The sequence below is a fragment of the Homo sapiens genome, chromosome Y (assembly GCF_000001405.40).
Source record: "Homo sapiens chromosome Y, GRCh38.p14 Primary Assembly".
Taxonomy (NCBI): Eukaryota; Metazoa; Chordata; class Mammalia; order Primates; family Hominidae; genus Homo; species Homo sapiens.
Genome location: NC_000024.10, coordinates 2,569,390 through 2,595,302, shown reverse-complemented (window position 1 = coordinate 2,595,302; position 25,913 = coordinate 2,569,390). Strand labels below are relative to the sequence as shown.

The window sequence follows — 25,913 nt, the reverse complement described above, 5'->3', positions numbered from 1 at the left end:
TTATAAAAGGGAGTTTTCCTGCACAAGCTCTCTCTTTGCCTGCTACCATCCATGTAAGACGTGACTTGCTTCTCCTTGCCTTCTGCCATGATTGTGAGGCCTCCCCAGCCACATGGAACTATAAGTTCATTAAACCTCTCTTTCTTCTGTTAGTTGCCCAATTTTGGGTATGTCTTTATCAGCAGTGTGAAAACAAACTACTACATATGGTATGTCTTCGGTTAACCTTTTGAGGAAACATCAGACTCTTCCATCTCTGTATCTTTCCAATTTCAATCTAAACGGACTCAAATCTGACTCTTAGACTCCACTCCCCTGGGAAATGTGATGTCGGCTATTATTGCGGTTCCCTCTCCTCCCTAGAGTCTCCTAAGAATTTGGGTCATGCTCCATTTTCAGACAATTTGAAAATTGGTCTGTTATGGTCTCTGCTCTGAAAAGCTTCATTCTCATCCCACCTCCTGCCCCGGCTTCCAGCAGCCTCCCTTAAAATTCTGGGGATGCAGACATCTGTGCTGAGGCTGAGAAGCCAGGAGCCTGGAGACCAGCGTCCCTGGGCAGGTGCAGTGGAACCAGCTGGCCATGTGCCAAAATTCCTGTGACCCTTCCCTGGTACTGTGCTGTCTTTGCTGAGAGCTGGCCGCCTGCTCAGGGGTCCCTAAGTCTTACACTGGACAACTGGATGAGTGAGAAATAATTATTTAATTGTTAAGCCACAGAAATTCCAGGGCTCATGTGTTACAGCCAGTCATTTCTCATGAACTAATACAGTAGATGGCTTGGATCAACCCCCTCTGATGGGATGCTGCTTCTCTTCTCGGTTGGTGGAAAAAGAATTTCCATCAGTCTCTCTCTCCTTGTCTCTCTCTCTCTCTCTTTATTCCTTTTCCTTTCTGTCTCCATCTCCCTCTCCCTGACTCTTCTGGCCCCTCCCTACCATTGTCAGATAAAATATCAGGTTGCACACGGTAACGCACGTCTGTAATCCTAGCACTTTGGGAGACTAAGGCAGGAGGATTTCTTGAGTTCAAGAGTTCAAGACCACCCTGGACAACATAGTGATACCTCGTCTCTACAAAACAAACAAACAAACATATTAGCTGAGCATGGTGGCACACGCCTGTGATTTTAGCTGGTCTGGAGGCTGAGGTGGGAGGATTGCTTGCCCCCAGGATGTCAAGGCTGCAGTGAGCTGTGATGGCACCACTTCTTTCTAGCCTGGGTGACAGAACAAGACCCCCATTTCAAAAAAAAAAAGACACAACATCATCAAAAATTGTACTTAAATATAAAAGTTTGAATACTGAAAAGTCTCCCACAGCAAGCAGGCTTTAAAACTCCAAAATCTATCTGTACACAGCACTTTTTTTTTTTTCACTCTTCTCAGATCTAAGAACGATGACAGGTGGCCATGGTGCCTCGTGTCCCCTTGCAGGGGTGCAGGGGTACACACACCTTTTTTTTTTTTTTTTTTAATTTGAGATGGAATCTCGCTCTGTCGCCCAGGCTGGAGTGTAGTGGTGAGATCTCGGCTCACTGCAAACTCCGCCTTCCGGGTTCACGCCATTCTCCTGCTTCAGCCTCCCGAGTAGCTGGGACTACAGGCGCCCGACCATCACGCCAGGCTAATTTTTTGTACTTTTAATAGAGACGGGGGTTTCACCATGTTGGCCAGGCTGGTCTCGAACTCCTGACCTCGTGATCCTCCCGCCTCGGCCTCCCAAAGTGCTGGGATGACAGGCGTGAGCCACCGTACCCAGCCTCGGTGAAAACCTCAGAGGCAGGCAGCATATTCCCTGCCGAGCCGGTAGGTGGCGCAGTCAGATAAGCATTAACTAAATCACAGCTCCCTCTCCCCATCAGAATCTTTATCTAGAGGGTAACCCCAAACCTGAGAATTTGGTCAGGTCCGCACACACACAGGCATCATCATTCTTCAGCGCCATCATGAAGGGCTCTTCTCCCCCTGTTAAAGGAAACTATCACATAGTCTTCCGAAACAGCCAGTCAAAAACTTTGTGATGCAGGAAAGAACAAAAAAAAATTAAAGGACGATTACAGAATAAATATTTACATTTCTGCCTGTAACACGGACTCTGAAGCATTGGAATAATGAGGACTTGCACACCGCAAATGGGCATCAAAATCGGGCTTTATACTTGAAAAATGAAGTTTTGTGTCAAAGAAAAGGGACATTTCAAACACCACATTTATGTTTGACCCACATATACATGTGATTTTAGCTGGTCTGATATTATATTATATTATATATATATATATTTGTTTGTTTGTTTGTTTTGAGACAGAGACTCACTCTGTCGCCCAGGCTGGAGTGTTGTGGAGCAATCTCGGCTCACTGCAGTCTCCGCCTCCTGGGTTCAAGTGATTCTCCCGCCTCAGCCTCCCGAGTAGTTAGGACTACAGGCGCCTGCTTCCGTGCCCTGCTAATTTTTGCATTTTTAGTAGAGACGGGGTTTCACCATGTTGGCCAGGCCGGTCATGAACTCCTTGACTTCAGGTGATCCACCTGCCTCGGCCTCCCAAAGTGCTGGGATTACAGGCGTGAGCCACTGCACCTGGCCAGTACCTTTATACCCTTCTGGAAAGAGAACATGTTCCTTCCCCTGTTGACACTGAATTATGTCAACAGTTCTCCCCCAAGTAATGCATGGGTTTAAATCACACAGGTGATTTCAACTTGCTGCCCCCACTATTTCATTTGACAAAGGACACAGTCCTGCCTACCTGAGAGGCAGTGGCTCTACGTAAAAAGTTTTAACACACAGGAAACACCATTAAAGGGTTAGTGACTAACCCATATTTCCTGTTTTTTTGGTTTGTTTGTTTGTTTTCCCCACACATCCCCACTGGCCTGAATGAGACCTCAAGGTGTCTCATTCTTACTTTATCTTACAATCACTCTGATGGTCAAGAAGCTTGAGCACATGGGAATTCTTAAATCAAGGCACATGATTGTTACAAAGAATAGACGCTGAGGTGGGCGGATCACCTGAGGTCAGGAGTTCAAGACCAGCCTGGCCAGTATGGTGAAACCCCGTCTCTACTAAAAATACAAAAATTAGATGGGTGTGGTGGCACGTGCCTGTAATCCCAGCTACTCAGGAGGCTGAGGCGGGAGAATCGCTTGAACCTGGGAGGCAGAGGTTGCAGTGAGCGGAGATCATGCCACTGCACTCCAGCCTGGGTGACAGAGTAAGACTCCATCTCAAAACAAAAACAACAAAAACAAACCAAAAAAACAAGTTAATTAGAATGCATGGCCAACGTTGTGTTCCCCAGCTCTGTTGGTTTTCACATTTTTTTCCACAAACGAAATAAAAATGAAAGCAAAGCTTAAAGCTAAAAAGCATACCCATTTAGACAATCTGTAAATATATACTTTGTTGAAATAACACTGTGAGAGTTTGTGCACATTTCTTTGGTTGTTTTCGTCATCTGAATCCATGGCTGACTGGCTCCCACTCTGCTATTTTAAAAATAAAATGTCCTTTCTTCTATCGTTTCTGTGGTTTTGTCGCCAACCCATATTTGCTGGAATAAGGTAGTAAAAAACATACACTAAAGTCTGAAGTCCCCATCAGCTCTGCTAACTTATTACTAGTTTTCACACACACTGAGTTTAATGAATCTATGTTTTGGAACAAAGCAGTTACCTTAGGAACTTGAGAGATGTTTCCGGCCAGGCGCGGTGGCTCACGCCTATAATCCCAGCACTTTGGGAGGCCGAGGAGGGTGGATCACAAGGTCAGGAGACCGAGACCATCTTGGCCAACATGGTGAAAGCTCATCTCTACTAAAAATACGAAAATTAGCTGAGCGTGGTGGCACACACTTGTAATCCCAGCTACTTGGGAGGCTGAGGCAGGGGAATTGCTTGAACCCAGGAGGCGGAGGTTGCAGTGAGCCTAGATTGTGCCACTGCGCTCCAGCCTGGCGACAGAGTGAGACTCTGGCTCACGAAAAAAAAAAAAAACCTAGAGAGATGTTTCCTTGTAAAACCACCCCATTCTAAAAAGCAGGTGGGTTACATCTGCTTCCCTGTAAAGAGAACTCTTTCTAGTGTTAGCTGCTCTGTTCATAGATAAAAAATGCTGGACACCTAAAATGTTAGTTTAAATTTATTAATAGCATCTACATAAAATCTTAGCTATTTCACACAACACTACCCACTATCATATTTGAAATAATCTGAGCAAATAGTAAAAAGACATATCCCAAAGACAACAACACTGGCAGACTAAAGAAAAGCAGAAACCATGAACTAAGAAGGTAAAATGCTTTTGAACCTCTAAGCGACTCCTGCTATTACGGAAACATCCGTTTTCGTCCATTGGGTTTTATCGGTTTTTATCATTGGCTTTGTGTTTTGCCTAAATTAGCAAATATAGCAAGTCTGTTTATGCCTCAGTTAACCTGTAGACTTAACCTCACTAAAAATAATAACACATTAGGAAAAACTATCAGAAAAAACAATAACCACACCTCCGCCCCAACACAAAGGCACACATAAAGAGGGACTGGACACAAATCCATACCACAGACTTGATTTGGTTTACAAACTTGATTTTGTAACCCAAATCCTTTTTGTTTTTGAGACACAGCCTCACTCTGTCGCCCTGGCTGGAGTACCCTGGTGTAATCTCAGCTCACTGCAACCTCCGCCTTCCGGGTTCAAGCAATTCTCCTGCCTCAGCCTCCCAAGTGGCTGGGACTACAGGCACATTCCACCACGGCTGGCTAATTTTGTATTTTTAGTAGAGACGAGGTTTCACCATGTTGGTCAGGCTGGTCTTGAACTCCTGACCACAGGTGATCCACCCACCTTGGCCTCCCAAAGTGCTGGGATTACAGGCATGAGCCACCAAGCCCGGCTGCAACCCAGATCTTGATTTTTGACCTTGATTTGACCCACAGATTTGGGAATGAGAAGTGATTACAGAGTTGGAGCCTTGGAGGGAGAGAGGGTTTCTCATGTGAGCAGGGCATGGAGAAACAGTAGTCAAAATCCTGATTTTGACCAAGATTTTTTCCAAATCTTGATTTTTGACCTTGATTTGTAAACCAAATCAGTTTTGTTTTGTTTCCTGCTTTTTTGTTTTTTGTTGTTTGAGACGGAGTCTCGCTCTGTCACTCAGGCTGGAGTGCAGTGACGTAATCTCGGCTCACTGCAACCTCTACCTCCTGGGTTCAAGCGATTCTCCTGCTTCAGCCTTCCAAGTAGCTGGGACAACAGGTGCCCGCCACCATGCCCAGCTAATTTTTGTATTTTAGGAGAGACAGAGTTTCACCATGTTGGCCAGGCTGGTCTCGAACTGCTGACCTCAAGCAATCCACCTGCCTCAGCCCCCCAAAGTGCTAGGATTATAGGCATGAGTCACCATGCCCGGCCAAATCAGTTTCATATAGCAAATTGCGAAAGCTGGTCACTGGATCACCTGAGTTTGAATTATTTTGAATACTGATGACCCAACGTGCAGATCCAGGAGACAGAGCCAGGACCCAAGATTTTCAATCCTCCAAAGGAGCCCAGGATTGTCAAGAATTTGGGCAAGTTTCCTCTGGTTAAAAAACAAAACGCATGTTTCAGCATTCAAAGTGAAGCAGAGGAAAAGCACTTATTATTCAATTACTTTAGGCAATTGAGTCAAGCCAGAGATAGACACGATCCAAAAACTCTTGGGAAAGATGTTCCATCTTCTACATGGAATGCTGGACCTATCCCAAAGTTCTCCAGGGATACCCTGAAGAGTTGTAGCACATTCAAGAAAGTACACACGTTTCTTCAGTAAACAGACCCAGAGATAGCTGTCCACCTGGAGCAGATTCTGGTCAGCCCATGAGCAGCTCTTACTCACACAGATACTGAGCCAATCAGAAGTGATAAAATCCTTCCAATACTTCTAATCACCCAGGAATGAATTAGTCAATGGGGAACTTTTCCTGTCCTCATCTGCCTGCCCCAGGGCTCATGGTTCATCTTGTCCATGAGTTTCTACATGCAACTATGAGCTAAAATAAAAACAAACCGGCCCAGGCATGGTGGCTTACACCTGTGAGCACTTTGGGATGCCGAGGCAGGCAGATGACTTGAGGTCAAGAGTTCGAGACCAGCCTGGCCAGCATGGAGAAACTTCATCTCTACTGAAAATACAAAAATTAGTCGGGTGTGGTGGCGCATGCCTGTAGTCCCCGCTACTTGGGAGGCTGAGGCAGGAGAATTGCTTGAACCCAGGAGGTGGAGGTTGCAGTGAGTTGAGATCGTACCACTGCACTCCAGCCTGGGCGACAGAGTGAGACTCTGTCTCAAAAACAAAAACAAAAACAAAAACAAGCAAACAAAAAACCCATATACACAGATGAAAAAGGAGAAGTCCTAATCACTGATAGTAAATCAATAGATTACCGTCCACGTTAGAAGCTCTGTATCTCAGGACCAAACAACCACAAGCCACATATGGAGAGAGCGTTTAGTAGTTCACACATTGTGATTTAGGAAGCAACCACTTCTCTGATTCTAAAATAATTCACTCTAGGGAGAGTGGCTGCCCTGAAACATTGCCTTCCCACCATATTTAGTTCAAGAAGTCACTCAGGGATGAGGAAAATGAAGGATATGTACATGACTGAAGGATTAAGTGGCAGAAACAGCATTTTATTTTTATTTTTATTTTTGAGACAGACTCTCGCTCTGTTGCCCAGGCTGGAGTGCAGTGGCGCAATCTTGGCTCACTGCAACCTCCACCTCTTGGATTCACCATGTTGGTCAGGCTGGTCTCGAACTCCTGACCTCAAACAATTCACCTGCCTCGGCCTCCCAAAGTGCTGGGATTACCGGCATGAGCCACTGCACTCAGCCACTAGCTTCTAATAATGATAATTCTACTCTCTACTTCTATGAGCTTAACTTTTTTGTACCTCCCACTTACGAGTGAAAACATGGGGTATTTATCTTTCCATGCCTGACTTTCTTCACTGAAGATATTGTCTTCCAAGTTCATCTGCGTTGTCGCAAATGGCAGATTTCATTTTTTATGGCTGAATAGTATTCCATGATGGATAGATACCACATTTTCTTTGTCTAGTCATGTGTTAATGAACATCTTAGCTATTATGAAGAGTGTTGCAATAAACTTGGGGGTGCAGATATCTCTTGCATAGACAGACTTTCTTTTAAAAATGTATACAGTAGTAAGATTACGGAATCATATGGCAGTTCTAGTTTGAGTTTTTTGAGAAAGTGCCATACAGTTTTCCATCCTGGCTGTATTCATTTACATTCCCACCAACAGTACATGAGTTTCCGTTTGTCCCAATCCTCACCAGCGTTTTTCACTTTTTGTCTCTTTGATAATAGTGATTCTAACTAGGGTGAGTTGGCCATGAATCTGCCTTTTCTGGGGGAGATTTGTATTCAGATCCTTTGATTTTTTTTTTTGAGACAGAGTCTCACTCTATCGCCCAGGCCTGGCACCATCTCGGCTCACTGCAACCTCCGCCTCCCGGGCTCAAGTGATTCTCCTGCCTCAGCCTCTCAAGTAGCTGTGATTACAGGCACCCACCACCACACCCAGCTAAGGGTTTTGCCATGTTGGCCAGGCTGGTCTGGAACTCCTGACCTCAGGTGAGCCACCTGCCTCAGCCTCCCAAAGTGCTGGGATTGCAGGTGTGAGCCACCGCACCCTGCCCTTTTGGTAATTTTTAAATTGGATTACTGTTGTTTACTCTTGAGTTGTTTGAGATCCTTGTAATTTTCCAGATTCATCCCCTTTCAGATGAGTCATTATTATCCCCAAATATTTGTAAATATTTTCTCCTATTCTACAGCTTGTCTGTCCACTCGGTTGATTGTTTCCTTTGCTGAGCAGAAGCTTTTCTGGTTTAATATAGACCCATTTATCTATTTTTGGCTGTGGTACCTGTGCTTTCAATTTGTTGCCCACAAAATCGTGGCCTAGACCAAGGTCCTGAAGCATTTCCTCTTCTTTTAGCTTTAGTCATCTCATCGTTTGGGGTCTTATATTTCAGTCTTTAATTCATGCGGAGTTTGTTTTTGTATATGGTGAGGGATGGGGGCTAGTTGTGTTCTTCTGAGTACAGTATCCATTTTTTCTAGCACCATTTATTCAATAGAGGGTTCTTTCCTCTGTGTACTTCCCTGCTGCTTTTGTCAAAAGTCACTTGGGTGTAAATCCATGTTTTTTTTTTTTCCTGGGATGTCTATTCTGTTCTGTGTCTTCCTACATTAAAAATCACATTATAGGCCGGGCACAGAGGCTCATGCCTGTAATCCCAGCACTTTGGGAAGCCAAGGTGAGTGGATCACCTGAGGCCAGGAGTTCGAGACCAGCCTGATCAACATGGTGAAAACCCATCTCTATTAAAAAATACAAAAAATTAGCCAGACATGGTGGCGGGCGCCTGTAATCCCAGCTACTCAGGAGGGTGAGGCAGGAGAATCACTTGAACCCGGGAGGCAGAGGTTTCAGTGAGCTGAGATCGCACCACTGCACCCCAGACTGGGTGACAGAGCGAGACTCTGTCTCAAAAAAAAAAAAAAATCAAATTCTATTTGTGAGAAAGGAATCGTGGTGTATTGGCTCTGACACCTGCCTTATACCTTTCCATCTGGATGTTCTTTTTGCTCTTGGCTTCACTGTGGGTGTCTGATAAATTGTACAGACAAAAGTAAGTTTACAAACTGTCTGAAACTTTGGTGTTTCTTCCCCTGAGGAATTCCCCTGAGGAATACCAACTCTTCATGTGCAGAGAAGTGGAAGTATAGAAATTCAATTATCCATCTTCTCTCAGCCGATGAACAGCTAGAGGCTGGAAACGCAGGTTCAATTGAAAGTTAGAAGCTGCTGCCCTGGAAATGTACACACTATCGCTGAGCGAGGACCTTTTCATGCACTGTGTGGGCACGTGCACACACACCCACCCACACACACGGGTACGCGCGCGCGCACACACACACAATTGATTTCCTCTCTAAAGTGGCAAGAAGAAGCTGCCTGGCTGCAAGCCTTGCTGGCATGGGTCATGCCATCTACAAAACTGTTCCCTTGCTCCCCACTTCTGCTCGAAAACCTTTCACAGACTGCAGATTCAAGGGAAAGCCACGCCAGCCACCCGGCTATCTGCTGGGAGACCCTGAGGTGGGCTCTTCTCTTTGCCGTCAGCAGGAAGAGGGTCTCCTCCCTCCCACCTGTGTCATCCTGGGGGAAGAGCTGTCTCTGGAATGGAAACACCGGGTAGAAGGGTGCAGAGGAGAGATTGCATCGCCACTTTAGTGCTTGATGAATTCCTTTTTCCCCGACCCACACAGCCCTCTGATATCATGGTCCATTTTCCTGGCATCCTTCCTCAGCTGCAAATCCATCCTAGACCATAGCAGGGGAGGCTATTTTTACCTGGGTCAGGTCCTATCTTCTCCTTTGTTCCTGTTTCTGAAGGTCAGGAATGCCTTACCCTCGGGAGCCAGGCTCTCAGACAAAGGCTCTCCAACCCTGAAGCTCTTTCTGTCTCCCAGAACCATGGGGCATCGGTGCTGGGGTCACTGCATGCAGGTATAAAATTTTCCCTCAGTAGTGTGTCACTGCAGGCAGGCGAAGACTTCTACCAGGCATCGTGGAACAGCTCCTGCTCACCGGTGTTAGGGGCCACAGGGAGCGGAGACAAAAATCAGGGCATGAAAGGCCTGAATTGTGTATTTGCTGGGAAACTGGGTGGTCCCTGTTCTTACCATGTCATGGATTCCTGGTGCAAGCCCTATGCCCCTGTCCAACAGCCCCAGCTCCCTCCCTCCCTTAAAGAGAGTATTCAGGATGCCCAGCTAGGGAGGAACTACCTCCTTTCCCAAGAATTTGGGCTCCTTCGGCCTTCTGTGCTGTGCCCTGACCTGTTCGTGTCTCCACCAGACATCAGCCCTAAACACAGCTCACACTTCAGGAAAAATGTGTGTGCACCCACGTGCCACCATGCCTGTCTCTCCATTCCCCAGGGCTAAGCCCCAGAGAGTAAGGGACAAACGTGGGGTGGAGGGCTTTCTGTGATGCGAGGGCAGAAACCTGGATCCTTACACTAAGGCGTCTGTGTGCATCGCCCCTTTATCACGGGACTGAGTCTCACACCAAGACGTCTGCCTCACCCCTTCATCACAGAACCCAGTCTCCCCCTTCCCCTTATAGAAGCTGTGACTCTGGGCAAGGGTGTGTACTTTTTTCCTGCCTGGGCCCATCCTGCTTGGTATCAGCAATGAGTTAGTTGCAACTTGAAACCCCCTTCCCTGTACAAGAGACACAGAGAGAGAGAGAGAAAGAGAGAAGGGGCAGCTTCTCTCCATGAGCACCTTCATTCTTTGATGAGAATATCGCAGCTCACCCATACCGGGGTGCAGGGTGAGAGTGAGGAAAAGAGGAAAGGAAGGGGACTCCCAAAGAAGGGGTGAGATGCAAGACCTGGACGAGAGAGATATCCACCGCTGCGCTGGAGAGAGGGGGCCGGGAAAAGCAGAGAGGTGGGAGAGGTGATGGAAAGGCGCGCAGTCGGGGACGCCTGCTCTCCCCCGACCCTCCCCATCTGCAAAGGGAGGCCCCCCGCCCAGTGCCGCAGCCCCTCCCCGCGCGCTCGCCCCCGCGCCTCCCTCCCGCGCCCCCGCGCCCCCCGCCGCCAGTGGACGGCTGCGCGCTGCTGCCCGCGGGGCTGGCGTTTCCACCTGTCACCGCGCCGCCTCCGCCCCAAGTTTTCGGGGGACTTGCCCGGCGCGCCGCCTTCCTCCAGCTCTCCCCCATGGCCGCCGCCCCCTCCTCCCGGCCGCCCCCAGGGCCCCCCGTGCCCCCAGCCCAGCCCAGCGGCCGCCGGGCCCGGTGAGCGCCAGCAGCTGGGGGGACCCGGGCGGTGGGAGCCCCGCGCGCAGCCGCCTGCACCCGAGCGCGCCGGCCTCCGAGCAGCCACCACTGCCACCACCGCCGCCGCCGAGCAGCCACCCAGGCAGCGTCTGTCCCGGGCACGGAGCATTGCGGATGCGGCGCGGGGCCGGCGCGGGGCTCCGGGCGCGCTCGGGGGTCGTGAGCGCCGCGCCCCGCGCCCCCGCGCGCCCCCCGCCCTCCCGCGCGCCCCGCTGGGGCCATGCAGTCTCTCATCTCGCCGGTGACCAAGGCGATCCTGGTGGCCCTCTTCATCTTCGCCATCCTCCTCATCCTCTACGTGATCCTCTGGTACATCTGCCGCGATGTGGACTGTGACCACGGCATCTGAGCGCCGCGGACCCCCGGGGTCGCCAGGCGGGGGGCGCCCCCAGCGCCAGGGCCATGGGGACTGAGCCGTCCCGCGGTGCCCCCCAGCTCGGCGCCCGCGCCCCCTACTCCGGGCCCCACCGCCCGCCCTGCACCTCCACCGCCTCCTGGCCTTGACCTTCAGGGACGCACCGGGGAGAGCGGGTGAGTGCGCTCGTGCGGGCGCTTTGGGGGGCCACGGTTGGGGAGCCCCAACTTCGGGGAGGACGCGGAATCCGGACGCGGGACTGAACCCGAGGATTCACGGAGCCCGGGGCTCCCCTATGGGGCACGGGAAGCGGCAGATGCGCGTGCAGAGAGGTGGGCGCAGGCCCCCCCTGTACCCCCTCCAGGTCCGTCCCACCCACCCCCTGGGCGCCTTGGGTCCAAGGCGCATAGGCGCTCCCGCCTGTGGCCGCCACCGGTGCAGCAGAACGCGGGCTCTCGGGTGGGTCCAATGCGCTATGGCACACCAGGCGCTATCGGGTCCCTAGCCCTCTGCTCCGGCGGTGGGGACCCCGCACTCAAGTTCCCTATAACCTCCATGGACAAACACGGTGAGCGCGAGGCTAGGAACAGAGTGAGCGTTATCCACGGCCAAGGGACACCTCTAGGGAGCAATGGGAAACAAAATTTCAACCAGGTCGGAAGGCGGTTTGCCTTTCTCACACTGCCAAGCCCCCCCTGGGAAGCCGAAGCCTTGGGGGTGGGGGGAGTAGGTGTCCTCCAAAGTCCTCTGGCCCCTGCTCCAGAGGGGAGAGGGACAGATGTGACAAGGATGAGGCTTTGCCCTACACCAAGTGTGCCGGGCAAGTTTGGGAAGGTGAAGCAATCTGTGACTTAAATAAATATCTTCTTAGCCAGAAAAATGCCTGCCTTTGAATATTTCTCTGGGAAAAAAAAAAAACTGTGAGGAAGAACACCCAGTTTAAATAGACTGCCAATTTATGCGTGGGCATGGCTTCCTTTGGTAATCAGGGCAGACAGAAGCTGTTTGGGGGCTCACTTCGGATCAGACGGAGCTCGGCTTGGTGTTATTTATGTTCATTCCTCTCTGATTAACAGTTTCCAGCCACTTGAGGGTTAAGGAAACTAAAAATCCTAGGACTTTTTTTTTTCTGGTCCCAGGATAATCTATAGATTGCTTGTCCGGGGAATCTTTGGAAATCCCGTGGGACTGCAAATGTCTGATTTGGGATGGTTAGGGTGTGAGTGTCAGTGTGACTGTGACTGTGTGTGTGTTTTCCGTAGTTAATACTGTAGTTGACACAGTGAGTGGTACTGCAGCACCTAACTCATGTCCACAGATGCCAGTGTCTGCAAAGGGTTGGGGAGGGAGCGGGGGGGCGTTAGGGGGAACAGACACCACTTTCAGGATAACAGATATGATTTGAGAAAATGAAAACATTTGCAAAGTCCCTCCACATTCTCCATTAAAATACATTCTCCTGGGACTCTGTGGCTGGGTGCGTGTATTACATCTCCCAAGATGCCAAGTTTGTCTCTGGAATTTGTTGCTTCTCCTCAGCCTGGCCCCCCAACTCCCAGCTCACATACCCAAATGTAGGACTTTTACATCTCAGTCCAAAAAGACTCTCTGACACCAGAACGGACCAATATTTTTGAAGTACTGCGTGTGCTCCAGGTATTAAATTAACTGAAAAGAAACGGGGTAGAAGCTTGATTATGAAAATCCAAAATAGGACGCTTTGCAAATTATTCCCGGCACAGAGGAAAAGCTACTGGAGCTTCACGCAAGCACATCCCACCCAGGGGGCCCAAAGTTACGCCAAGCACAAACCCACCGGGCTAGTCGAATAGGAAAAGGAAGATTTAATCCAAGAAGCCTGTTTCTCAGGTGAGGGTTTGGGAAGAAACAGGGTCGTGGAGTCAGTCACTCGCGGGGCTTGCCTGGGAACGATATGAAAATACAGTTGCAGCTGAAACTAGATGTGAGCCACTAACGAAGCTCACCCTAAACATGATAGCTGAAGTCCTGTTCACATCTGATGATTCCTTAGAGCTTGTACATTCTCAGCCTCTCTCGGATTATTTTTCTTATATAAAATTTCCATATTCCAATCGAGCACTGTTTATTCAATTTCCCAGAGAATGCCTTCTCATAAATTAGAAACTAGCCGTCTACATATTGATTCTATGAACGATTGCATTAAAATGCCTACTTAATAGTCACTACCATGTCTGCTGAAAGGCTCATCACCAAATGAGAACAAAACGCAGGGATTCAGAATTCAAATGGTAGGGCGCTCACGAAGTCACAAAGTGAACAGCTAATTAACGCTCTTGGAAAAGAACGCTCATCTCCATCACAGATAGTCTCCTTCCCCCAGATAGACAAGGCTAGAACCAGAAAGAAACCTTTAGACAAAAGGAAATCACAGTAACTCATGTCTGTGTAGCCTCCTGTGTGATCTACAAAAGACCTTCCCGTGAGGTGTTCCTCCAGATCTGCGCCACTGTCCTGGGAAGATGCCAGGTTGGTGCTAACATCCCTGTTTCAGGTCCACAAACCAAGGCAGGTAGAAGTGCTTCTTGCCCAAGGTCACGCAGTGAGTCAGTGCAGAGTTGTCACTGGAAGTGACACAGACTCCCACTTGGAGCTTTTGGCTAGAGATTGGGGGGCATTTCTTTCTACAAGTGTGACTCTTCTCTGTGGTCCTGTTTTATGTCCATCAGTGCACACTGACATCCATCAGTTCTCCAAGGGAGTGCTTAGATCATGGTGACCATTTGGGTATTTCTTTTCTTTCTTTTTTCCTTTTCTTTTCTTTTCTTTTTTTTTTTTTTTTTTTCTGAGATGGAGTCTTGCTCCGTCGCCCAGGCTGGAGGGCAGTGGCGCAGTCTCGGCTCACTACAACCTCTGCCTCCCAGGTTCAAGCGATTCTCCTGCCTCAGCCTCCTGAGTAGCTGGGATTACCGGCACGTGCCACCATGCCTGGCTAATTTTTGTATTTTTAGTAGAGATGGGGTTTCACCCATGTTGGCCAGGCTGGTCTCAAACTCCTAACCTCGTGATCCTCCAACCTCAGCCTCCCAAAGTGCTGGGATGACAGGTGTGGGCCACTGCTCCTGGCCCGTTTGGGTATTTCACACCTAAAGAAGATATGAGTATTAAAACAGCAGCATGATCCCTCAGGATGCTTTCCTGGAACCTAGAAAGATAAGCCCTGACTGGAAAAAAGGACAATCTCAGTGAAGCTGGGAAGAGCATGATGAGACAGAAACCTCTGCGCTATTATCTTAATTTTCTATGGACAACCCACACATGCAAGGGTGGTTATGATTACTGTCAAAAGACCTACAGTTTCCTATAAATAACAATTACACCTAATAGTTGCTGAGTGTTTTACTAAACACCAGATCTGGAGTGAAAATAATATTATATACATTGTATTTTACCCTCCTGACAGCAACATGAATATAATTAGTATCCCAATTACACAGAATGGAAAAATAAGGCTGGAAAAAAACAGGTTATGTAACTTCCCCAAGAATAAAAGAAAAAAACTCAATCATCAGTAACCAAGCTTTTACCAACGGACCTGTGGCACACATGTGTGTTTATGGGGTGTGTGTGTGTGTGTGTGTGTGTGTGTGTGTAAAATCTCACATCCATTGCAGTGATATTACACAAAAGTTTTAAATTATATTTCTACTTGCAACTCTCCTTTAGGGTTTAAAATTAATCATTCTCTTTAAAGTTTTTAAAAAATTGATTACAGAATAACTGCTAATTATCTGTTTCTAGACACTGCTCACACAGGTTTCCATTTTTAAAACTTTTTATGTATTTTTTTTTTAAAGACAGAGTCTGGCTCTGTCATCCAGGCTAGAGTGCAATGGTGCAATCTTGACTCTCTGCAACCTCCACCTTCTGGGCTCAAGCAATTCTCATGCCTCAGCCTCCCGAGTAGCTTGGACTACAGGCCTGAGCCACCATGCCCAGCTAATTTTTGGACTTTTTAGTAGAGACGGCATTTCATCATGTTGGCCAGGCTGGTTTCGAACTCCTGACCTCAAGTGATCCACCCACCTCGGGCTCCCAAAGTGCTGGGATTACAGGTGTGAGGCACCGCGTCCAGTCAATATATTTTATGTGTTCCAAACTGTAAAGATTTTTATGAGTCTTAAAAAAAAAAAAAATGAACCTTAAAGCGAAGCTGCTGAAAAAGTGGCCCTAAATGCATTTTTCTTGGGATCCCATATAGTGCAAAGACCCTCCTAAAATCTCCTTTACATGGTTTTGGCAGCTTCCAAACTTAAGGGGAAGGTCCCCCAAGGGGTAGAGAGGGCCTCCTGGAAACCTCAGCTTCTGTGCAAGAAGAGTTGAGGGAAGAGGGTAAATTCGATCTGTAATGAAGCTTGAGATGTAGCAAGACAAAACATCTAGACACCATAATGAGGGACATTTGGTGGCAGTGATGAGAGGGGGACGTGGTCAACTAGATGAGAGAGAATTTTCTCAAGCTGATCATTAAGGACAGGGTGAGCACAGCGGCTCACGACTGTAATCCCAGCACTTTGGGAGGCCAAGGTGGAAGGATCGATTGAGCCCAGCAGTTTGATACCAGCCTGGGCAACATAGTGAGACTCTATAAGAAAAAAAAAAAGCAGGGAGAGGGAGCGGACACAGTGGCTCACACCTATAATCCCAGCACTTTGGGAGGCCGAGGCGAGCAGATCACCTGAGGTTAGGAGTTCCAGACCAGCCTGGCCAACATGGTGAAACCCCGTGTCTACTGAAATACAAAAATCAGCCAGGCATGGTGGCACACATCTGTAATCCCAGCTACTCAGGAAGCTGAGGCAGAAAAATCGCTTGAACCCTGGAGGTGGGGGTTGCAGTGAGCCGAGATCGCGCCACTGCACCCAGCCTGGGCGACGGAGTGAGACGCCATCTCAAAAAAGAAAAAAAAGAACAGGCTGCCTCAGAAGTGGTCAGAGGTGTTTGTTTGCCTTGTTGTGTGTACTTCCCCAAGGGAAGTGTAGCGGGGAGGAGAGACGAATACGCAAGTGTTTCGGTCATAGGACTTCACACTGGATAAGAATATTGACATACCTTCCAAATTTATATCACTGAAAAAAAAAAAGATTCTTTAGCAGAAGTCAACATTTTGGAATTCAAGATAAGTGACCTGTGGGAAAAAGAATTGAGTTGAAAATCTCACTGTTGTTTTCAAAGCTGTTCTCAGTTAATGTTGTTTTCAAAGCCTGAGGTTGTGGCTTACGTTATTGAGACGCTTCTTAACCATTCTTCTCCTCCTTCACCCTAAAATTAAGATCCTTTTATATCTCCTCTTCTCAGGCTGTGTTCCACAGATGTTCATATTGGAACTTGCCTGCATTGCAGATGTCTGTAAAAAAAAAGCCGGGGGAGCGGAGAGGCAGGCTGAAAGGTAGTAGAGAATTCCAAGGTGCCGACAGAGAAGGAAAGACCAGCCTGGGTCTTACATATTAGCTCTGTGATACTCCAAGCTCCACAGTGTTAAGCTAAATCCCACTTAGAAAGTGAAGTGGGAAATAGATGTGGATTTGGAGCTAGGAGGGGCAGTGCCGCGGCCTGACTCAGAGAGCTGGGTCCTTTCAGGATGTAAGAGACACGAAACGGAGGACTCCTAAGAGGAAGAGGAGGCTGCGTTCACTTTCACGCACTTCCCAAGGCAGCATGTCAGGCCGGGAAGCTGTACAGTGGGAAGAAGAATCTGTAACAGCGCCTCAAAGCAGGAAAACAACACCGTACCATAAGCCAAACCCCTGCTGTGCTTTCTGAGTAATGCCATTTCTAAAAAGATCATGTTTCCATGAGTTATTTTTTCCCCTCCGCCGATTTGGTCTAGCAACATGTAAAGTGTAAATTCAAGGGAAACATGAGTGAAATAGAAAGGGTGACTTTGGAGGTACCTACAGTAGATGCAGTGCTGTGATGGGGCGTGCTGACCTAGAGGGGGATATTCCCCCATCAGAGAAAGGTCCCAGGGCCCTGCTGCTGTCTCACAAACCTGAGCACTTCCTTTCCGAAACTATCCCCAGAGGCAGGATCTTTCAAGAAATGTCGTCCTTGGTCCTTGTCTTGCATCCTTAGCTGGGGAGCCTTCCAGGCAGAGGCTAGGATTTTTGGAAATACCTAAGCCTCCTTCAGCGCCAAGTCTGGGGGATAACTTTAGAAGCCAATTTAATCAATATGGCTTTTAGCTCAAAATAGCGCCAGTGTAAGGTAAGGTCTAGACAGGCGCTTGGAGGCAATTCTGAAACAGTTCCAAAAATAGTTTGAAACAAACTGGGCCCTTTGAATGAGTAGCCGGCCTTCTGGAGGAAAGGGATCAAACTCACTCGTGTGCAAAACCTCAGGTGCAATTTGTGTTGTAAACTCTCCTCGGTCACCTCCTAACTAGGATTTTTCGGGTGTGGGAACAAGATGTATGCATTTATTGAACACCTACTGTGGGTTTATGACAATTTTACGCTTTTATTACGAAACCTTGGGATAGGCTGTTATGTTTTCCTCTGGGGAAGGTGAAGACTGTCTGTAATTATGCGCTCAAAAAGCTGTCCATGCCCGGGCGCGGTGTCTCACGCCTGCAATCCCAGCACTTCGGGAGGCCCAGGCTGGAGGATCACTTGAGGTCAGGAGTTCAAGACCAGCCTGGCCAACATGGCGAAACCCCGTCTCTACCAAGAATACAAAAATTAGCCAGGTGTGGTAGTGCACACCTGTAATCCAAGCTACTTGGGAGGCTGAGGCGGGAGAATCGCTTGAACCCTGGAGGCAGAGGTTGCAATGAGCCAAGACTGTGCCACTGCACTCCAGCCTGGGCGACAGAGTGGACCCTGTCTCAAAATAAATAAATAGTAAATAAATAACTGTCCACTAGGGATCTCAAGGCCAGGTTGCCAGTGGTCAGTGGTGGCTATTTTTCATGTCATTGTACTATCTCTTACCATCTGACCAGACTCATCCTTCCATTCCATCCGCCTACCCCCTGTCTCTGAGTCATCAGATGACTAAGCATACCTATGGGTTGGTACTGTTGGCGTGAATGCGGTGATTCAGGTCGTAAGTGGGCCCACCACACAGAAGGCTCCCGAAAAGATCCTCGGGGAAAATGGACAGACATCATTAGTGAAAGAGAAAAGCAAAGTATCCCCAAAGCCTACCCATTAATAGTGGTCTGAACACAGGGCATTGCCGCATTACTCTTCCTGGCTCCCTAATTCCCATGTGTGTGAAGTGTGACTGTAATTACGATGAAAGCTAAATGAATTAAATATGATTTTCTTTTTTTTTTTTTTTTTTTGGAGACGGAGTCTCGCTCTGTTGCCCAGGCTGGATGTGGCGTGATCTCGGCTCACTGTAACCTCTACCTCCCGGGTTCAAGCGATGCTCCTGCCTCAGCCTCCTGAGTAGCTGGAACTATAGGCACCCACCACCACACCCAGCTACTTTTTTTATTTTTAGTAGAGATGGGGTTTCACTATTTTGGCCAGGCTGGTCTCGAAATCCTGACCTCAGGTGATCCACCTGCCTTGGCCTCCCAAAGTGCTGGGATTACAGGCATGAGCCACTGCTCCCAGCCAATTTTCTTTAGTATCTCATCTTTTAGCATGACACCAATGGACAAGTCTAATGGGAATTACAATAACATGGAAATTGGATCTTTCCTACCGTCAGCAAAAATGTCAAGACCACAAAAGACAAAACAAACAAACAAAAAACTATCTAAGCGAATAAAATAGTAGAGGCAAACAGAAATATGAGAACAAAGGCATCTAAAAAAGATGCTTAAGAAAAAAACTTTGGGGAGGCCGAGGCAGGCGGGATCACTTGAGTTTCAGGAGTTCGAGGCCAGCCTGGCCAACATGGTGAAACCCTGTCTCTACTTAAAAAAAAAAAAAAAAAAAAAAAAAAAAACAAAAATTAGCTGGATGTGGTGGCAGGAAACTGTAATCCCAGCTACTCAGGAGACTGAGGCAGGAGAATCACTTGAACCCAGGAGGTGGAGGTTGCAGTGAGCTGAATCTGGTTCAAGCGGTTCTCCTGCCTCACCCTCTTGAGTAGCTGGGACTACAGGTGATTCTCTCACCTCAGCCTCCTGAGGAGCTGGGACTACAGGCATGTAGCACCATACCAGACTGATTTTTGTATTTTTTTGTAGACATGCGGTTTTGTCAGCGTTGCCCAGGCTGTTCTCAAACTCCTGGGCTCAACTGATCCTCCTGCTTCAGCCTCCCAAAGTGCTGAGATTACACGTGTGAGCCACCCTAACCACTGCAAACATCATTTCTTTTTCTTTTTTAATTTTTAACTTTTTTTTGGTTTTTGTTTTTGAGACAGGGTCTCACTCTGTTGCCCAGGCTGGAGTGCAATGGCACAATCTCGGCTCACTGCAACCTCTGCCTCCCGGGTTCAAGTGATTCTCCTGCCTCAGCCTCCCGAGTAGCCAGGATTACAGGCATGTGCCACTGCACCTGGCTTAATTTTGTATTTTTAATAGAGACAGGGTTTTGCCATGTTGGCCAGGCTGGTCTCAAACTCCTGACCTTAGGTGATCATCTCGCCTAGGCCTTCCAAAGTGCTGGGATTACAGGCCTGAGCCATCCTGCCCAGTGCAAACATCATTTCAATATCCCCTTGCATCCTGCAAGGGTTCTCCATCTGGGGACAGATGGTGGGGCAGTAAACCTTCAGAAGTGCGGAGAGACAACGGGTGCTTTCCTCAGGGGCAGGGGAGATGAATTCAACCAAGAACACGACTCTTGAGGAGGAAGGCAACTGCAATGTTGGAAGCACCAACCACAAGTGGCTGTTGAGTATGGTTTCATTCAAGGCTTGAATATTTATTTTTATTGAGCTATATTGATTTAAACGTAAACAGCCACATGTGGCTGGTGGCTATTCTATTGGATAGCACAACTAGAATTGTAATACATGTGCTGTTTGATTCATTCATTGTATTAGTTTGCTAAGGCTGCCATAACAAAGGACCGCAAACTTGGAAGCTTAAACAAGGGACATTGATTCTCCTGGAGGCCTGGAGGCTGGAAGTCTGAGATCAGGGTATGGGCAAGGTTGGTTCCTCCTGAGGCCTCTCTCCTGGGCTTGTAGACGCCATCTTCTCCCTGTGTACACACAGGGTCGTCCCTCTGTGTGTCTGTGTCCTCATCTCCTCTTCTTATGAAGTGTCTTAGTCCATCTCAGGCTGCTATCACAGAATACCATAGACTGGGTGGCTTATAAGCAACAGGCATTGATTCTCCCACAGTCCTGGAGGCTGGAAGTCCGAGATCCAGGTGTGGGCAGGGCTGGTTCCTCCTGAGGCCTCTCTCCTGGGCTTGTAGACACCGTCTTCTCCCTGTGTCCTCACAGGGTCAACCCTCTGTGTGTGTCTGTGTCCTCGTCTCCTCTTCTTATAAGGGCACCAGTCCTGTTGGATCAGGCCCTACCCTAATGACATAATTTTCGCATAATGACCTCTTTGAAGGCCTTATCTTCAAACACCGTCACAAATGAGGGCTAAGGTTTCAACATGGGCATTTCGAAGAGACACAATTTAGCCTGAAACACTCATTTAACAAACCTTTCCTGGCTCTTATGTACCAGCAGTTATAATACTGGACAAACCTGGTTCCTGCTCTGAGTGTAAATTCCCAGCTGGGGAGATGGCAAGGTTATTTGATAATTGTGGTACATTTTGATCCAGGGTATAACAGAAGTCCGGGCCACATGCCGTAAAACAGCTGGCAGACAGATCTCAGAGTCTCTGTGCTACAGGAACATGGAGGAAGAACCCAGGTGGGCTTGGGAGGAGATGTTTAAGGCATCGTGATGCTTGGTGTAGCCCTGAAGGTCAAGATACAGTTATCCAGATAACGCTAAGGTGAAGATTCATTTCAGGTAGAGGAAGCCACAGCACGTGAGATCATGCATGCACACATACATATGTGCGCGTGCGTGCGCGCGCGCGCGCGCGCGCGCACACACACACACACACACACACACACACATACTTCCATGCCCAAAGGCAGCAAATTCTGCAGCCCAATTTGTATTCCAGAGCCTGCTGTTGACCAGGTTGAGATATGTCCTGAGATCAAATCATGCCTCAGTGCCTTTTTTTTTTTTTTTTTTTGGAGACAGATTCTCACTCTGTCACCAGGCTGGAGTGCAGTGGTGCGATCTCAGCTCACTGCCACCTCCGCCTCCCGGGTTCAACGATTCTCCTGCCTTAGCCTCCCGAGTAGCTGGGACTACAGGTGCACACTGCCACGCACGGCTAATTTTTGTATTTTTAGTAGAGATGAGGTTTCACCGTGTTGGCCAGGATGGTCTTGATCTTTTGACCTCCTGATCCAACTGCCTCAGCCTCCCAAAGTGTTGGGATTACAGGCGTGAGCCACCACCACCCCTGGCCGGCTTAGTGCCTTTTTAAACGGGCTTCCCTCCCTCCCTCTGCAAATGCTCTATGTCTTTGAATCCCAACCTCAGTCTCTGTGTCTGGGGAACCCACCTTATGACAACACCTTATCCACACATAAGCTTTGGCAGGTAAGTAACATGATCATCACTCGACAGACATGCTGCCTTAGGCCCAAGTCACCTGGCCAAGGTCCAGCACTCATTGAGCACCATGATTCTCCATGTTGGACCTCTGCCTCAAGGATTCATGAAGAAACAGAGAAAGTAAGGGGCTGATAAATGTTCTTGTGTACTAAAATTGCACATCTGGAAACTGACTCTGAAAGCGGTGCCATACCTAGAACATAATTAGTGCAGGTCAAAAGCAAACCCATCATCCTGCGTGTTGTTCCCTCTGGCGCTTCTTCCTGCTCCCTGGAGCCATGTTGGCATTAAACAAGACAGCATGAGTGGGTATGTTTACACCTCTTGCAGTATTTTGGGGTTTTCCTGGGGCCTCCCAGAATCTCTGTGTGTGAGAGCAAGCCAGGGATGCTTTTGTGAAGGTGGCAACCCCAACTCTAAGGCCAGCCGAAAGAGTACTCTCTGTGCCTCTCAAATTACCCCAGCTTCCTGGCCGTCTGACTCAGCCCTGTTGGGCGTCAGTCTCATGGAAAGACACAGTAATGGGTGGAGACCTACCCATTCTTTTTGTTTGTTTGTTCTTTGTTTTGAGATGGAATCTAGCTCTGTCGCCAGGCTGGAGTGCAGTGGTGCGATCTCAGCTCACTGCAACCTCCGCCTCCCGGGTTCAAGCAATTCTCCTGCCTCAGCCTGCTGAGTAGCTGGGACTACAGGCGCATGCCACCACGCCCAGCTAATTTTTGTATTTTTAGTAGAGACGGCGTTTCACCATGTTGGCCAGGATGGTCTCGAACTCTTGACCTCAAGTGATCCATCCGCCTCGGCCTCCCAAAGTGCTGGGATTACAGACGTGAGCCACCGTGGCCAGCCCCCACCCATTCTTAAAGATAAGATTTATAGAGTTACAGGTGGGGAAGAGACAGACAGGAATTAGATTCCTTGCAAAAGCTGAATTGGATGCGGCTGGTTCCTGGGGCTAGCAAGTGTGATCATCATTATAATTTGTGGAGATCAACCCATTATCTTACCAATAGCAGCGATTCAGGAGGTGGTAGATAGCGTTCCCAGATGAATATTTGAGATACTCAAGTGAAGGAAAGCCCTTTTCAGTAGACTTTGAATTCTTTGAGAAGGTATCAAGGAATTCCCTATACCCCCAAGCTTCGTCCCAAGTGCTCAGAATAAATATCTAGTCACTTCCAAGTTGCTCCAACTGATTTGCCTGGAGCAAGGACAGGTCCCTGGGTCACTGAATCTTCCTTGACCCAGATGTTTGGGTCATCCTAATTGGGAAGAGTCTTTATGCCACTGTGAAAGGTGGAGGGACTGGGGTTCAAAGAGGTGAGAGGTGGAATAGCAGCCTGCCCAGCCCGGTGTCCCTGGAGATCATGGGGCTTTTGGGGGCCTCAGGGGAACACAGCTATGTGGCTACAGCCCCACCTAGTACTCCACTGAGGTACCCGGAGCCCTGTTTCTGTATTTTCCCTGGATGCCCCAGGTTTTCAGGGTCTGGAAGAACTCTACCCGTCAGAAATAAAATATAGGCTGGGCACGGTGTCTCACGCCTGTAACCCCAGCACTTTGGGAGGCCAAGGTGGGTGGATCACTTGAGGTCAGGAGTTCGAGATCAGCCTGGCCAACATGGTGAAACCCCCTACTCTACTTAAAATACAAAAATCAGCCAGGCGTGGTGGTGGGCGCCTGTAATCCCAGCTACTCAAGAGGCTGAGGCAGGAGAATTGCTTGAACCCAGGAGTCAGAGGTTGCAGTGAGCCAAGATGGCACCATTGCACTCCAGCCTGGGTGACAGAGTGAGACTCGGTCTGAAAAAAAAAAAAAAGAAATACAATATGATCCACAAAAGCAATTGAAAACTCTTTGTTAAACACATTAACAAAGGAGTAAAATGAAAATGGTGAAATCAATTTTAATAATATGTGTAATCACTATATTGAAACAGTCTCCTTTTAACGGGTATATATATTTATATTTACATAAATATATGAATTTATATTTCATGTATGTTTTTAAATTTATTAAATTTGTACAAATTTTATTAAAAATATATGCAAATACGGTATTTAATAATAAATATGGTATTTAATGACACTATTTAAATAGTGTCATTTTAACATGTATGTATATTTCTATATTTACATAAATATATAAATTTACAGTTTATGTATATTTTAAAATTAAATATATACAAATTTTATTAAAATATATTTTCATATATTTATTTAATCACTATATCAAATAGTCTCATTTCAACATGTATATATTTATATTTACATAAACAAATTTATAGCTTATGTATATTTTTCAGTTTATTAAATTTGTACAAATTTTATTACAATATATTTATATATAAGATATTTATTTTATCACTATATAAAATAGTCTCATTTCAAAATGTATATTTATATAAATATATAAATTTATATTTTATTTATTTTTTAAATGTAAAATATGTACACATTTTATTAAGATATATTTCTGACCAGGCATGGTGACTTATGCCTGTAATCCCAGCACTTTGGGAGGCCAAGGTGGGTAGATCACCTGAGGTCAGGAGTTCGAGGCCAGCCTGACCAACATGGAGAAACCCCATCTCTACTAAAAATACAATTAGCTGAGCGTGGTGGCGCATGCTTGTAATCCCAGCTACTTGGGAGGCTGAGGCAAGAGAATCGCTTGAACCCAGGAGGCAGAGGTTGCAGTGAGCTGAGATCACGCCACTGCACTCCAGCCTGGGCAACAAGAGTGAAACTCAGTGTCCAAAAAAAAAAAAAGATATATTTCTATATAAACATATATGTATAAATGTCATAAATGAATATATATATTTTATAAGTATATAAAATAATTGTATACATATACACAATTTATTTCAAATTTATATTTTAAAAATATATGTGTGAATGTATTTAGAATTGTATATATAGGTATAATTATTTAGAATTATATATAGTTATTTAGAATATATTTATAATTTTATATATATAGTTATTTAGAATAGATTTAGAATTGTATATATAGTTATTTAGAATAGATTTAGAGTTGTATATATCATTATTTAGAATTATTTAGAATAGATTTAGAGTTGTATATGTAGTTATTTAGAATTATTTAGGATAGTATATGTAGTTATTTAGAATAGATTTAGAATAGTATATATAGCTATTTAGAATATATTAGAATTGTATATATAGTTATGAGTGAGATAGCGCGCATTCTTTTTTCACACCAAGTCTTCAAATCCAGTGTCTATTGTACATTTACAGCACATCTCAATTCAAATGAACTGACATCCTTTGGGTGTTTGTCCCTTCCAAATCTCCTGTTGAAATAGCATCCCCCGTGTTGGAGATGAGGCCTGGTGGGAGGTGTTTCCGTCACAGGAACAGATTCCTCATGAATGACTTGGTGCCATCCTCATGGTAATGTGCGAGTTCTCACAGTATTAGTTCATGCAAGAGCTGATTGTTAAAAAGAGCCTGGCTCCTCCTCCTCTCTCTCTTGCTCCCTCTTTCACCATGTGACGCTCTGGTTCCCCTTGCCTTCCTCCATGAGTAAAAGCTTTCTGAGGCCTCACCAGAAGCTGAGCAGATGCCAACACCATGCTTGCTTCTTATAGAGTTTGCAGAACGGTAAGCCTAATACACCCCTTTTCTTTAATAAGTCACCCAGCCTGGGATATTCCTTTATAGCAATACAAAATGGACGAAGACACCACATCCAAATGCCATTTGTGGCTGGTGCCCCCAATCTGGATAGCACAAGTCTCATTTTGTCTTCCAGCTAACCCTATGCTTTTCTTATGGAATTTCTCTCCCCTGGCCCTGAAGAAAGCATCTCTTCCCTCCCTGGCTCTTCTCTCATCTTCACTCTCAACCATCTGGTAGTTTTCCACATGCGATATTTAGCCAGAACTATCCCTGATGGAGGGGCCTCCCCACACACAGCCCAAGCAAATTCACACAGGACTAAAGTCTGTTTCTTTATTGGGTCATTGTCTTTCTGGGTAGACTGAGAGTCGGTGGGGATTCAGAATTTCTGTC

The 25,913-nt window shown here is 47.0% G+C and overlaps 1 long non-coding RNA gene across 5 annotated transcripts in view, besides 4 other annotated features; it reads left to right on the top strand.

The window, feature by feature from the left end:
- LINC03112 (long intergenic non-protein coding RNA 3112) overlaps window positions 1-25,913 on the top strand; it is a 43,212-nt gene that overhangs the window by 13,938 nt on the left and 3,361 nt on the right. The window contains exons 2-3 of one of the 5 annotated variants that reach the window (XR_001756049.2): window positions 21,014-21,207; window positions 25,137-25,292. The exons of 1 other annotated variant lie outside the window; for it this stretch is intronic. This is a non-coding gene — a long non-coding RNA (long intergenic non-protein coding RNA 3112). Of the gene's footprint in view, window positions 1-20,669; window positions 21,208-25,136; window positions 25,293-25,913 lie in introns of those variants that run through there. 3 more of the 5 variants (XR_950583.3, XR_001756048.2, XR_001756050.2) reach the window with 3 other exon arrangements.
- Window positions 11,036-11,535: an enhancer, noted in NCBI's record as "H3K4me1 hESC enhancer chrY:2451809-2452308 (GRCh37/hg19 assembly coordinates)". NCBI's record gives its function as "activates a minimal SCP1, AML or CMV promoter by ChIP-STARR-seq in primed H9 embryonic stem cells {active_cell/tissue: H9 hESC(primed)}" and the evidence as "EXISTENCE:reporter gene assay evidence [ECO:0000049][PMID:30033119]".
- Window positions 11,036-11,727: a biological region, named in NCBI's record as "H3K4me1 hESC enhancers GRCh37_chrX:2501617-2502117 and GRCh37_chrY:2451809-2452308".
- Window positions 11,227-11,727: an enhancer, noted in NCBI's record as "H3K4me1 hESC enhancer chrX:2501617-2502117 (GRCh37/hg19 assembly coordinates)". NCBI's record gives its function as "activates a minimal SCP1, AML or CMV promoter by ChIP-STARR-seq in primed H9 embryonic stem cells {active_cell/tissue: H9 hESC(primed)}" and the evidence as "EXISTENCE:reporter gene assay evidence [ECO:0000049][PMID:30033119]".
- Window positions 11,728-12,228: an enhancer, noted in NCBI's record as "H3K4me1 hESC enhancer chrX:2501116-2501616 (GRCh37/hg19 assembly coordinates)". NCBI's record gives its function as "activates a minimal SCP1, AML or CMV promoter by ChIP-STARR-seq in naive H9 embryonic stem cells {active_cell/tissue: H9 hESC(naive)}" and the evidence as "EXISTENCE:reporter gene assay evidence [ECO:0000049][PMID:30033119]".